This window comes from Homo sapiens, chromosome 1 (assembly GCF_000001405.40).
Source record: "Homo sapiens chromosome 1, GRCh38.p14 Primary Assembly".
Classification (NCBI taxonomy): Eukaryota; Metazoa; Chordata; class Mammalia; order Primates; family Hominidae; genus Homo; species Homo sapiens.
In genome coordinates this window covers 180,328,881-180,342,314 of record NC_000001.11, presented here as the reverse complement: position 1 = coordinate 180,342,314, position 13,434 = coordinate 180,328,881, and the positions used below count along the sequence as shown (strand labels likewise).

The window sequence follows — 13,434 nt, the reverse complement described above, 5'->3', positions numbered from 1 at the left end:
GAAAAATCTTGATATCTTTTTTAAAGACTGATCCTTTTCTCTACTACTCTTGGAAGGCAGAATAGATAATCTAATTAGAGGACAGTCTGGTTGGCCTCCTGTCTTTCTATTCCCCACTTGCCAGTCAATTCTGTAATTGGAGTCATGGTTCTTATGTTCATGTCCTTGCTCTAATTGATTTCTAGGTAGACATTCCCTAAATTGAAAGATCAAAAATCTCAACATTTCACATTAAACAGTAGAACACTTCAGCCCACAGCATCTGAACACAAAAGCTCCAAATTAGGCATGGTGATCTGAGGAACACAGCAAACAAGAAATGGATTGGGAAGTGGTAGGTAAGCCTATCATGCTTGTAATTGTAAAGAGCTACTTATAAGTAACCATGATTTTAGTCGGTTTGATGAGTTTTTCCTTGGAACAGCTAAGTAATAATTAAATCACTGAAGAAGTTTGTAAGCGTGTAGATGGTATTCCAATTCAGAGAGTGTACCAACAATACCATGACCACAGAGAGCATAAAAATAAATTTTAACTGTAACTTTTTCTTATTACAAAGTAATAATGTATTTTATAAATTTTTACAAAAACAAGTGATTGGTTTTCCTGAAATAACAGGAAGAATAGTGGAAGTGAACATCTGATTCAAGTGGGTTCAAGAGATAATGGGAAGGAGGAATTAGAGTATAGACAACGCTTTCATGAATTTTGCTGTAAAGAGGAGAGAAATGGGGCATTAGAGGGATGGTTAAGGTTTGGAGAGATAGCAGCATATTTATATCCTGATGGAACCTATACAGAAAATAGGGAAAACTGATAATGCAAACAAAAGAAAATCTTTGTCATCTATAATATTATCCTCAAGATAATCCCTGTTTTCATTCTCATGTTTTTAAAATCTTTTTCCTGTAGGTAGAGATACAATTTTAAAACAAAAATGGGACCATGCTCTACATAGTTTTATAACCTACTTTATTATTAATATTTTCTCTTATCCATATTCTTTTTAACATAATTTCTTATGACTACCTAGTATCGTATAATATGCCTGCAGTATACTATACTTGTAGCCATTCCACTGTTAAGATATATAGGTTGTTTCTATTTTGCAATATGTAAACTACGTTGTAAACTCCATAAAGGCAAAGACTGTAACTTGGCTTGTTTATTGCTTTGTCCCTGGTATATAGTAGACTTTCAGAAAGCAGATATTTAAATGAATTCTACTCTTCCAAACCTCCACCCAAGCAGCTAAATATGGCTGGAAAAAAATACACAACCATGCTCACTCCATGTTTATAACCACTAATCTCAGCAGTGACACTACATTTCCTTATCCCATGAACTCTACCAGTTAGATGACTTTTTCATATTTTCTCTTCTCTCCTCAAAATTTAGATATCTCGATCCTCATCATCATTCTGTGCTGGTGACCTTCCTTCCCGTTTAACTGATGAAACAGGAGCCATTAAAAAAGAACTTCCGCAAATTCTCACTACCATATCTACTGACTTACCTGCATCTGTGCTTTTATAGTTCACTTTCCTTTGTATTAGTGTGGATGAACTATCTGGGCTTCTGGTTAAGGCCTTCCCCTCTGCTTGTGTACTATATCTCATCCTGCTCAAGGATCTTACTCCATATTTAAACCCCCCACCCCTGTTTTTGTTTTTTTGTTTTTGTATTATCAGTTTTCTCTCTCTTCTGTGTAGATTTCCATCAGGATACAGTTATACTGCTATCCTCTAGCCCCTTGCCCATTTATGTAATGCCCCATTTCTTTCCTCCTTTTTACAACAAAATCCCATGAAAGAGTTCTTTATACTCTAATTCCTTCTTTCCCATAATCTCTTGAACCCACTTGATCTCAAATGTTCACTTCCACCATTCTTCCTGTTCTTATCAGGAAAACCAGTGACTTCCACTTTGCTAAATCCAGTGACTATTTCTTAGTCTTTACCATACCTGACCTATCAGCAGCATGTGGCACAGTTGATCACTCCTTCTATTTTCAACCTAGCAGCCAGAGTGATCCTCTTAACCCATAAGTGAAGTCAAGCTATTCCTCTGCTCACAACCCTTCAGTGGTCTCTCACTGAATTAAACATAAAAGCCAAAATCCTTAGAATGGCTTACTAGGCCCTATGCCATCTGGCCCTTTATTACCTCTCTCTCCCCTCATCTCCTATTACTAATCTAACTTCCTTTCATTGCTTCAGTAACACACTGGCCTCCTCTCAGTTCCTCAGACATGCTGGGTACATAACCATTTCAGGGTCTTTGCACTTGCTCATCTTGTTCCCTCCTATTGCTTTTCCCCCAGATATTTAGACAGCTTATTCCCTTACCATCTTCACGTTTTTCTCCCCTAGTTGTCTCAGTAAGGTCTACTCTGCCTTCCTTATTTTAAGTTGATACCCAATCTGCCCTACCTCCCAGCATTCTGTATCTTTCTTTCCTGCTTTATTTTTCTCTGTAGCACGTACCATCATCTAGTATACTATATTTTACTTAGCTTGTTTTCTGTTCCCCCTCTCCCAATTAGGGCGAGATTTTTGTCTTGTTTGCTGTCCTTAGAACAGTGCCTAACACGTAGTTGATACTCAATAAGTATTTCTTTTTTTCTTTTTTTAATTATACTTTAAGTTTTAGGGTGCATGTGCACAACGTGCAGGTTTGTCACATATATATACATGTGCCATGTTGGTGTGCTGCACCCATTAACTCGTCATTTACATTAGCTATATCTCCTAACGCTATCCCTCCCTCCCTCCTTCCACCCTACAACAGGCCCCGGGGTGTGATGTTCCCCTTCCTGTGTCCAAATATTCTCATTGTTCAATTCCCACCTATGAGTGAGAACATGCGGTGTTTGGTTTTTTGTCCTTGCAATAGTTTGCTGAGAATGACGGTTTCCAGCTTCATCCATGTCACTACAAAGGACATTAACTCATCATTTTTTATGGCTGCATAGTATTCCATGGTGTATATGTGCCATATTTTCTTAATCCAGTCTGTCACTGATGGACATTTGGGTTGGTTCCAAGTCTTTGCTATTGTGAATAGTGCCTCAGTAAACATACGTGTGCATGTGTCTTTATAGCAGCATGATTTATACTCCTTTGGGTATATACCCAGTAATGGGATGGCTGGGTCAAATGATATTTCTAGTTCTAGATCCCTGAGGAATTGCCACACTGACTTCCACAATGGTTGAGCTAGTTTACAGTCCCACCAACAGTGTAAAAGTGTTCCTGTTTCTCCACATCCTCTCTAGCACCTGTTGTTTCCTGACTTTTTAATGATTGCCATTCTAACTGGTGTGAGATGGTATCTCATTGTGGTTTTGATTTGCATTTCTCTGATGGCCAGTGATGATAAGCATCTTTTCATGTGTCTTTTGGCTGCATAAATGTCTTCTTTTGAGAAGTGTCTATTGATACCCTTTGCCCACTTTTTGATGGGGTTGTTTGTTTTTTTCTTATAAATTTGTTTGAGTTCTTTGTAGATTCTGGATATTAACCCTTTGTCAGATGAGTAGATTGCAAACATTTTCTCCCATTCTGTAGGTTGCCTATTCACTCTGGTGGTAGTTTCTTTTGCTGTGCAGAAGCTCTTTAGTTTTTAATTAGATCCCATTTGTCAATTTTGGCTTTTGTTGCCATTGCCATTGGTGTTTTAGACATGAAGTCCTTGCCCATGCCTATGTCCTGAATGGTATTGCCTAGGTTTTCTTCTAGGGTTTTTATGATTTTAGGTCTAACATTTAAGTCTTTAATCCATCTTGAATTAATTTTTGTAGAAGGTGTAAGGAAGGGATCCAGTTTCAGCTTTCTACATATGGCTAGCCAGTTTTCCCAGCACCATTTATTAAATAGGGAATCCTTTCCCCATTGCTTGTTTTTGTCAGGTTTGTCAAAGATCAGATAGTTGTAGATGTGTGGCATTATTTCTGAGGGCTCTGTTCTGTTCCATTGGTCCATATCTCTGTGTTGATACCAGTACCATGCTGTTTTGGTTACTGTTTGTAGTATAGTTTGAAGTCAGGTAGTGTGATTCCTCCAGCTTTGTTCTTTTGGCTTAGGATTGACTTGGCAATGTGGGCTCTTTTTTTGGTTCCATATGAACTTTAAAGTAGTTTTTTCCAATTCTGTGAAGAAAGTCATTGGTAGCTTGATGGGGATGGCATTGAATCTATAAATTACCTTGGGCAGTATGGCCATTTTCACGGTATTGATTCTTCCTATCCATGAGCATTTGTTTGGATGTTCTTCCATTGTTTGGATCCTCTTGTTCTTCCATTTGTTTGGATCCTCTTTTATTTGATTGAGCAGTGGTTTGTAGTTCTCCTTGAAGAGGTCCTTCACATCCCTTGTAAGTTGTATTCCTAGGTATTTTATTCTCTTCGAAGCACTTGTGAATGGGAGTTCACTCATGATTTGGCTGTTTGTCTGTTATTGGTGTATAAGAATGCTTGTGATTTTTGCACATTGATTTTGTACCCTGAGACTTTGCTGAAGTTGCTTATCAGCTTAAGGAGATTTTGGGCTGAGACGATGGGGTTTTCTAGATATACAATCATGTCATCTGCAAACAGGGACAATTTGATTTCCTCTTTTCCTAATTGAATACCCTTTATTTCCTTTTCCTGCCTGATTGCCCTGGCCAGAACTTCCAACACTATGTTGAATAGGAGTGGTGAGAGAGGGCATCCCTGTCTTGTGCCCATTTTCAAAGGGAATGCTTCCAGTTTTTGCCCATTCAGTATGATATTGGCTGTGGGTTTGTCATAGATAGCTCTTATTATTTTGAGATACATCCCATCAATACCTAATTTATTGAGAGTTTTTAGCATGAAGCGTTGTTGAATTTTGTCAAAGGCCTTTTCTGCATCTATTGAGATAATCATGTGGTTTTTGTCATTGGTTCTGTTTATATGCTGGATTACGTTTATTGATTTTTGTATGTTGAACCAGCCTTGCATCCCAGGGATGAAGCCCACTTGATCACAGTGGATAAGCTTTTTGATGTGCTGCTGGATTCGGTTTTTCAGTATTTTATTGAGGATTTTTGCATCGATGTTCATCAGGGATATTGGTCTAAAATTCTCTTTTTTTGTTGTGTCTCTGCCAGGCTTTGGTATCAGGATGATGCTGGCCTCATAAAATGAGTTAGGGAGGATTCCCTCTTTTCTATTAATTGGAATAGTTTCAGAAGGAATGGTACCAGCTCCTCCTTGTACCTCTGGTGGAATTCGGCTGTGAATGTCTGGTCCTGGACTTTTTTTGGTTGGTGAGCTATTAATTTTTGCCTCAATTTCAGAGCCTGTTATTGGTCTCTTCAGAGATTCAACTTCTTCCTGGTTTAGTCTTGGGAGGGTGTATGTGTCGAGGAATTTATCCATTTCTTCTAGATTTTCTAGTTTATTTGCATAGAGGTGTTTATAGTATTCTCTGATGGTAGTTTGTATTTCTGTGGGATTGGTGGTGATGTCCCCTTTATCATTTTTTATTGCATCTATTTGATTCTTCTCTCTTTTCTTCTTTATTAGTCTTGCTAGCAGTCTATCAATTTTTTTTCAAAAAACCAGCTCCTGGATTCATTGAGTTTTTGAAGGGTTTTTTGTGTCTCTATCTCCTTCAGTTCTGCTCTGATCTTAGTTATTTCTTGCCTTCTGCTAGCTTTTGAATGTGTTTGCTCTTGCTTCTCTAGTTCTTTTAATTGTGATGTTAGGGTGTCAATTTTAGATCTTTCCTGCTTTCTCTTGTGGGCATTTAGTGCTATAAATTTCCCTCTACACACTGCTTTGAATGTGTCCCAGAGATTCTGGTATGTTGTGTCTTTGTTCTCATTGGTTTCAAAGAACATCTTTATTTCTGCCTTCATTTCGTTATGTACCCAATAGTCATTCAGGAGCAGGTTGTTCAGTTTCCATGTAGTTGAGTGGTTTTAAGTGAGTTTCTTAATCCTGAGTTCTAGTTTGATTGCACTGTGGTCTGAGAGACAGTTTGTTATAATTTCTGTTCTTTTACATTTGCTGAGGAGTGCTTTACTTCCAACTATGTGATCAGTTTTGGAATAAGTGCAGTGGGATGCTGAGAGGAATGTATATTCTGTTGATTTGGGGTGGAGAGTTCTGTAGATGTCTATTAGGTCCTCTTGGTGCAGAGCTGAGTTCAATTCCTGGATATCCTTGTTAACTTTCTGTCTCATTGATCTGTCTAATGTTGACAGTGGGGTGTTAAAGTCTCCCATTATTATTGTGTGGGAGTCTAAGTCTCTTTCTAGGTCTCTAAGGACTTGCTTTATGAATCTGGGTGCTCCTGTATTGGGTGCATATATATTTAGGATAGTTAGCTCTTCTTGTTGAATTGATCCCTTTACCATTATGTAATGGCCTTCTTTGTCTCTTTTGATCTTTGTTGGTTTAAAGTCTGTTTTATCAGAGACTAGGATTGCAACCCCTGCCTTTTTTTGTTTTCCATTTGCTTGGTAGATCTTCCTCCATCCCTTTATTTTGAGCTTATGTGTGTCACTGCATGTGAGATGGGTTTCCTGAATACAGCACACTGATGGGTCTTGACTCTTTACCCAGTTTGCCAGTCTGTGTCTTTTAATTGGAGCATTTAGCCCATTTACATTTAAGGTTAATATTGTTATGTGTGAATTTGATCCTGTCATTATGATGTTAGCTGGTTATTTTGCTCGTTAGTTGATGCAGTTTCTTCATAGCCTCGATGGTCTTTACAATTTGGCATGTTTTTGCAGTGGCTGGTACCTGTTGTTCCTTTCCATGTTTAGTGCTTCCTTCAGGAGCTGTTGTAAAGCAGGCCTGGTGGTGACAAAATCTCTCAGCATTTGCTTGTCTGTAAAGGATTTTATTTCTCCTTCACTTATGAAGCTTAGTTTGGCTGGATATGAAATTCTGGGTTGAAAATTCTTTTCTTTAAGAATGTTGAATATTGGCCCCCACTCTCTCCTGGCTTGTAGAGTTTCTGCCGAGAGATCAGCTGTTAGTATGACGGGCTTCCCTTTGTGGGTTACCTGACCTTTCTCTCTGGCCGCCCTTAACATTTTTTCCTTCATTTCAACTTTGGTGAATCTGACAATTATGTGTCTTGGGGTTGTTCTTCTCGAGGAGTATCTTTGTGGCATTCTCTGTATTTCCTGAATTTGAATGTTGGCCTGCCTTGCTAGTTTGGGGAAGTTCTCCTGGATAATATCCTGCAGAGTGTTTTCCAACTTGGTTCCCTTCTCCCCATCACTTTCAGGTACACCAATCAGAAGTAGATTTGGTCTTTTCACGTAGTCCCATATTTCTTGGAGGCTTTGTTCGTTTCTTTTTATTCTTTTTTCTCTAAACTTCTCTTCTCGCTTCATTTCATTCATTTGATCTCCTATCACTGATACCCTTTCTTCCAGTTGATTGAATCGGCTACTGAGGCTTGTGCATTCGTCACGTAGTTCTCGTGCCATGGTTTTCAGCTCCATCAGGTCCTTTAAGGACTTCTCTGCATTGGTTATTCTAGTTAGCCATTCGTCTAATTTTTTTTCAAGGTTTTTAACTTCTTTGCCATGGGTTTGCACTTCCTCCTTTAGCTCAAAGTAGTTTGATCGTCTGAAGCCTTCTTCTCTCAACTCATCAAAGTCATTCTCCGTCCAGCTTTCTTCCATTGCTGGTGAGGAGCTGCGTTCCTTTGGAGGAGGAGAAGCGCTCTGATTTTTAGAGTTTCCAGTTTTTCTGCTCTGTTTTTTTCCCATCTTTGTGGTTTTATCTACCTTTGATCTTTGATGATGGTGACGTACAGATGGGGTTTTGGTGTGGGTGTCCTGTTTGTTAGTTTTCCTTCTAACAGTCAGGACCTTCAGCTGCAGGTCTGTAGGAGTTTACTGGAGGTCCACTCCAGACCCTGTTTGCCTGGGTATCAGCAGCGGCGGCTGCAGAACAATGGATATTGGTGAACAGCAAATGTTGCTGCCTGATCGTTCCTCTGGAAGTTTTGTCTCAGAGGAGTACCCGGCCGTGTGAGGTGTCAATCTGCCCCTGCTGGGGGGTGCCTCCTAGTTAGGCTACTCGAGGGTCAGGGACCCACTTGAGGAGGCAGTCTGTCTGTTCTCAGATCTCCAGCTATGTGCTGGGAGAACCACTACTCTCTTCAAAGCTGTCAGACAGGGACATTTAAGTCTGCAGAGGTTTCTGCTGCCTTTTGTTTGACTATGCCCTGCCCGCAGAGGTGGAGTCTACAGAGGCAGGCAGGCCTCCTTGAGCTGCGGTGGGCTCCACCCAGTTGGAGCTTCCTGGCCGCTTTGTTTACCTACTCAAGCCTCGGCAATGGCAGGCGCCCCTCCCCCAGCCTCACTGCCGCCTTGCAGTTTGATCTCAGACTGCTGTGCTAGCAATGAGCGAGGCTCCGTGGGCATAGGACCCTCTGAGCCAGGCACGGGATATAATCTCCTGGTGTGCTGTTTGCTAAGACCATTGGAAAAGTGCAGTATTAGAGTGGGAGTGACCTGATTTTCCAGATGCCGGCTGTCACCCCTTTCTTTTGACTAGGAAAGGGAATTCCCTGACCCCTTGCGCTTCCCGGGTGAGGCGATGCCTTGCCCTGCTTTGGCTCACGCTCAGTGCGCTGCACTCACTGTCCTGCACCCACTTTCTGACACTCCCCAGTGAGATGACCCCGGTACCTCAGTTGAAATGCAGAAATCACCCGTCTTCTGCGTCGCTCACACTGGGAGCTGTCAGTATTTCTTGAATGAATGAATTTAAGCCATGAACATCCTTGCAGATAAATATTTACATAAATCTATGAATCATTTATTCACTCAGTGAAATTTTTTGAGTGCAGCAGGTCTATGAGGTCAGGATTATTTTATAATTCCAAGACATTATTTGCCTTTTTCATACTCATTGTCATGAGCATGCAATAGCATATTTCAAAAGCTATATCACTTGTGTTGTCACAACAGATTGAATGCAGAACTAGATATGCATATCCAATTATTTTCTATTTAACCAGGTATTAAAGAAATTTGCAAAAATCTAAAATGATACCACTCTTCTCATTGTGTTTTTTTTTAATCTGGAAAAATATTTTCATTTTTAAAATTATGTTACGTATAATTTATGTTAAGTGTAAAACATGTAACATGTTTTTATGTTATATGTAAAATATATAGTAACATGATGGTTTTTAAATTTACTGGCATTAATTTCTAATATGGTAAATATTGATAGATTTAAACCACATAAACAAAAGTTCTTTGAGGTCCTCAGTAATTCTGAAGAGTAACTCCAAAGAGTTACTATAAAGGGATCCTGAAACCAAAATGTTTTAAGAACTGCTATTCTAGGCCATGGTAAGAGTTTTGAACTTTATTCTAAAAACAGTAAGAAGCTGTTGAAGGATTTAAAAGCAAGGTATGACATAATCTGGCTTAACTAAGAAAAGGTCATTTATCTAACTCAGTGGTCCCCAACCTTTTTGACACCAGGGACAGGTTTCGTGGAAGACAATTTTACCATGGACTGGGGTCAGGGGGATGGTTTCAGGATGATTCAAATGCATTACATTTATTGTGCACTTTATATTATTATTACATTGCAATATATTATGAGATAATTATACAACTCACTATAATATAGAATCAGTGGAAGCCCTGAGCTTGTTTTCCTGCAACTAGATGGTCCCATCTAGGGGTGATGGGAGGCACTGTCAGATCATCAGGCATTAGATTCTCATAAGGAGCATACAACTTAGATCCCTCATATGTGCAGTTCACAATAAGGGTTGGCATTCCTGTGAGAATCTAATGCTGCCACTGATCTGACAAGAGGCAGAGCTCAGATGGTAATGTGAGTGATGAGGAACAACTGTAAATACAGATGAAGCTTTGCTCACTTGCCTGCCACTCACCTCCTGTTGTGTAGCCCAGTTCCTAACAGGCCATGGACAGGTAACAGGGATTGGGGACCCCTGTTTTAACTGCTGTCTGAAGAACAGATTGTAGTGGGGAAGGGGAACAAATATGAAGTTACTGCCTTTGTCTAGGTAGGAAATGGTGGAGGTTTGTACTGATGTGGGGTATTAATTTCCTAGGACAGCTGTAACAAAGTGCCACAAACTAGGTGGCTTAAAACAACAGAAATGTATTGTTAGCAGGGCCATTCTCCCTCTGAAACCTGTAGGGGAGAATCCTTTGCCTCTTCGGGCTTCTGGTGTTTGCTGGCAATTCTTGGCATTCCTTGTGTGTTTCCAAATAAGGTACCCATTGTGAGGTACAAGGAGTTAGAACTTTAACATATTTTTGGGAGACACAATTAAACTCATAACAGGTAGTAACAATGAAGTAAAGAGAAATGGATAATTAGACATCATATATTTTAGAATATACTCTCTAGTAGGAGTTGTTTGTGGATTCAATATAGAGGATGAGGAAAGTAGAATTCAAGGATGGAGCCCAAATTCTTGACTTGAGCAGCTGGGTAATAGAGCCAAATGACATACCATTTATTAACATGAAGTCTTGGGGTTGGGACAATTTTCCTTGGGGGAAAAATTTACAGAAGTGGAATTGCAAAGTCCCCTATTTCCTTAAATATCCTCATGCATCTCTTTGTCCAGATATGCTGTAGCATTGTTATATTGTTTTAGTATTATTCTATCAGATCCCCCTGGTTTAAACAATCAGATGTAGCAAAATATATTGTAGCCCAATTCACTTAGGTATACTTACGTAAAAAGAAAATAACAAAGGAACAAGGAACATGTGCTGTGGGAGAAATTCTTATAGTCAAAGTGGAACAGACAGAGTTGGCAAAGTCCTATGATATCCCCAAAGTATTTCAAATTAAACTTCGATATGGAAATTCTGATTATATAAGTTTGATACCATATTAGGATATTGACTACATTTTCCCCTGCTGAATGAAAATCTGGCTTTAGATTAAAATGGCTATCTAAGTTATTTGGTAACCTGATGGGGTTAAGGATGTTAGTTATATTACTAAGTAACATTATGACAAAAATGACCCCTTGATTGGTAAATTAATTTGGACTGGGAAGAACTGCAAAGGAATGATAAATACCTGATGGGGACACTGTACTTTGGAATGTCCTGAGTTACTTGTAATTGGCATACCCCTTGTGTGACCCTAGAAGCTACTGTTATATTGTGGCACTTGTGAAGTACCAGGACTTCTAAGCCAAGATAGACCCCACATCTGCTGATATGGATCTCTTCCCCTAATATCTGAGTTATATCTCCTGGAGAGAAGAAACCTCCTGGGTGGCTGGATAAGCTGTCACATGAATTACCTCAAGGACTCCAGTCTGACACTACCCTGATGGCAAATTTGGAATGGTTTCTGTCTGAAATATTTCCGAATAATTGATGCTAATTGTACCCAACAGTAGTTTTGTGAGTCTGAATGATTAGAAGACCACCGTGTGGATAGAGCACATATATTATCCATTCTTTAGGTTCAACTGCTTGTTTACACTGTACCTATTTTACTCCAATTCCTCTCTCTCCAGCAATTTTAATATGATGTTAAAGTAAATGTAGTTGTTTTAGCTGCAGTTCCCAAAGCAAACTTGCTCTTAAGAACATCTGTGTAGATGTACATTTGATCAGTTGCCTTAAAAGGGATGAATAATCAGTAATACTGCCTTTGATTGTTTTCCTTTTAGTTGTTTGCTTGTCATGTTTACAGTAGCTATTTATCAATTTGGATATCATCTATTTAAGTTAGCTTTTACTGTTGTAGCCCATGTGGAGAAAGAGTTTGAAATGCCCATTTATATTTGATCACAGATGTATGGTTTTTCAAATAAGGTTTTTTTTGTGATTTTGGTTTGGTTTTTTTGTTTGTTTGTTTGTTTGTTTGTTTTTGAAACAGAGTGTCACTCTGTTGCCCAGGCTGGAGTGCAGTGGTATAATCATGGCTCACCACAGCCTCAGTCTCCTGGGCTCAGGAGATCCTCCCACCTCAGCCTCTCAAATAGCTGGGACCAGAGGTGTGCACCGCCACACCTGGCTTTAAAAAAAAAAAAAAAATTCTTATAGAGTCAAGGTCTCCCTAATGTTGCCCAGGCTGATCTCAAACTCCTAGGCTCAAGCAGTTCTCCCACCTCAGCCTCTCAAAGTACTAGAATTAGAGTCATGAGCCACCATGCCCAGCCTTCAAATGAAGTTTTGATCCTTAATTATTGCTTACACCTAATAAGAAAGACGTCCAGAGAATCAAGTCCTTGTATTTTGCTGTATTTTGTCAGCTTTTTGGAATATATACTGTTACTTTCTGGTTTTTATTCATAGAGAAAACTTAAGAAAACTGAGGAGTGGGCTGGTCAGAAAGTTATCTTGTAACTATTGATTAACAAGTTAGTTCCATTATTTTGTGGAGGATTAGACAAATGTCCGGAAACAGAAAGACAGCCAGTAAAAAGAGTTACTTCTAACTTGTCCAAAGACATGTTACCCATTTGTGGTGACACTGATGGCAACTGGTAGAGAGGCAAGAAGGCGAAGTGTGCACGGGCTACAGATCACCACCCAGAGCAGTGCCACTTTAATGTTGGCTTTATTTACTTGTCATTCCAGATTCTATTTGAATACAAGCTTCCATAGAATGTTAAAAAAAATTGAAAATCACTGATTAAGAATATAGTCTATGCTTAGAAATGCTCCCCAAAAGTTTAAAAAAAGAATATAGCCTAAAACCAAGATAAAACCAACATGAACATAAAATACACAGATCTATAATAAAGCTTTCTACAAATCATGTTGTGAGACCATTCCCAGACTATCAGTCAGAGACAGTTTCCCAGTTTTAGACACAGCTTGAGGAACTTGCTTGTCTGATTTCCAATCCTTAGCAGATGAGAGGTAGAAAATTTTAAAGAGTTCAGGTACACTGATAATAATAAAGGATAAATGAATATCCTATGGCTGAGGAAAAGCTGCTTAAAAAAGGAAAAGACAAAAATCAAACTCAACAAAAAGCAAAAGTAGTCTGGGTCCATTTGGTGAAAGACCAAATAGCCTTATATACCTTAGTGCACTGTAAAGGCATCTTTTATAGTGTGTACAGTAAATGATGTTTTTGTTCAATCATATTCCCAGACATTTACTTGGTGCCAGAAATTGAGGGATATAATCAGTTTGTGATGTTGACTGAGAATCGTCAGAAAAAGGTTAAATCATTGTCCATGTTCTCCATATAGAGTAATGAGAAGTAAGATGTGTTAGAAATAATTATATGCAAAAGTTTACAGGGATGATGTTTTTAATTTTTGGATGCTGAAATGTTAATGATCCAATTATTTGAAAAATCTACTGATATATACTCCCTCATTCCATAAAGATGCCAGTTAAATAAGATGTTACTGTATCTACATTGTTTCCTAGAAAGAAAGGAAAATACCTAGA

The 13,434-nt window shown here is 39.0% G+C and overlaps 1 protein-coding gene across 7 annotated transcripts in view, besides 1 other annotated feature; it reads left to right on the top strand.

The window, feature by feature from the left end:
- Positions 1-13,434, top strand: part of ACBD6 (acyl-CoA binding domain containing 6) — a 232,925-nt gene that overhangs the window by 160,263 nt on the left and 59,228 nt on the right. The gene's annotated exons all lie outside the window — the stretch shown is intronic.
- Positions 1,875-2,075: a silencer, noted in NCBI's record as "peak483 fragment used in MPRA reporter construct". NCBI's record gives its function as "represses an SCP1 promoter by STARR-seq MPRAs in K562 erythroleukemia cells {active_cell/tissue: K562}" and the evidence as "EXISTENCE:reporter gene assay evidence [ECO:0000049][PMID:32103011]".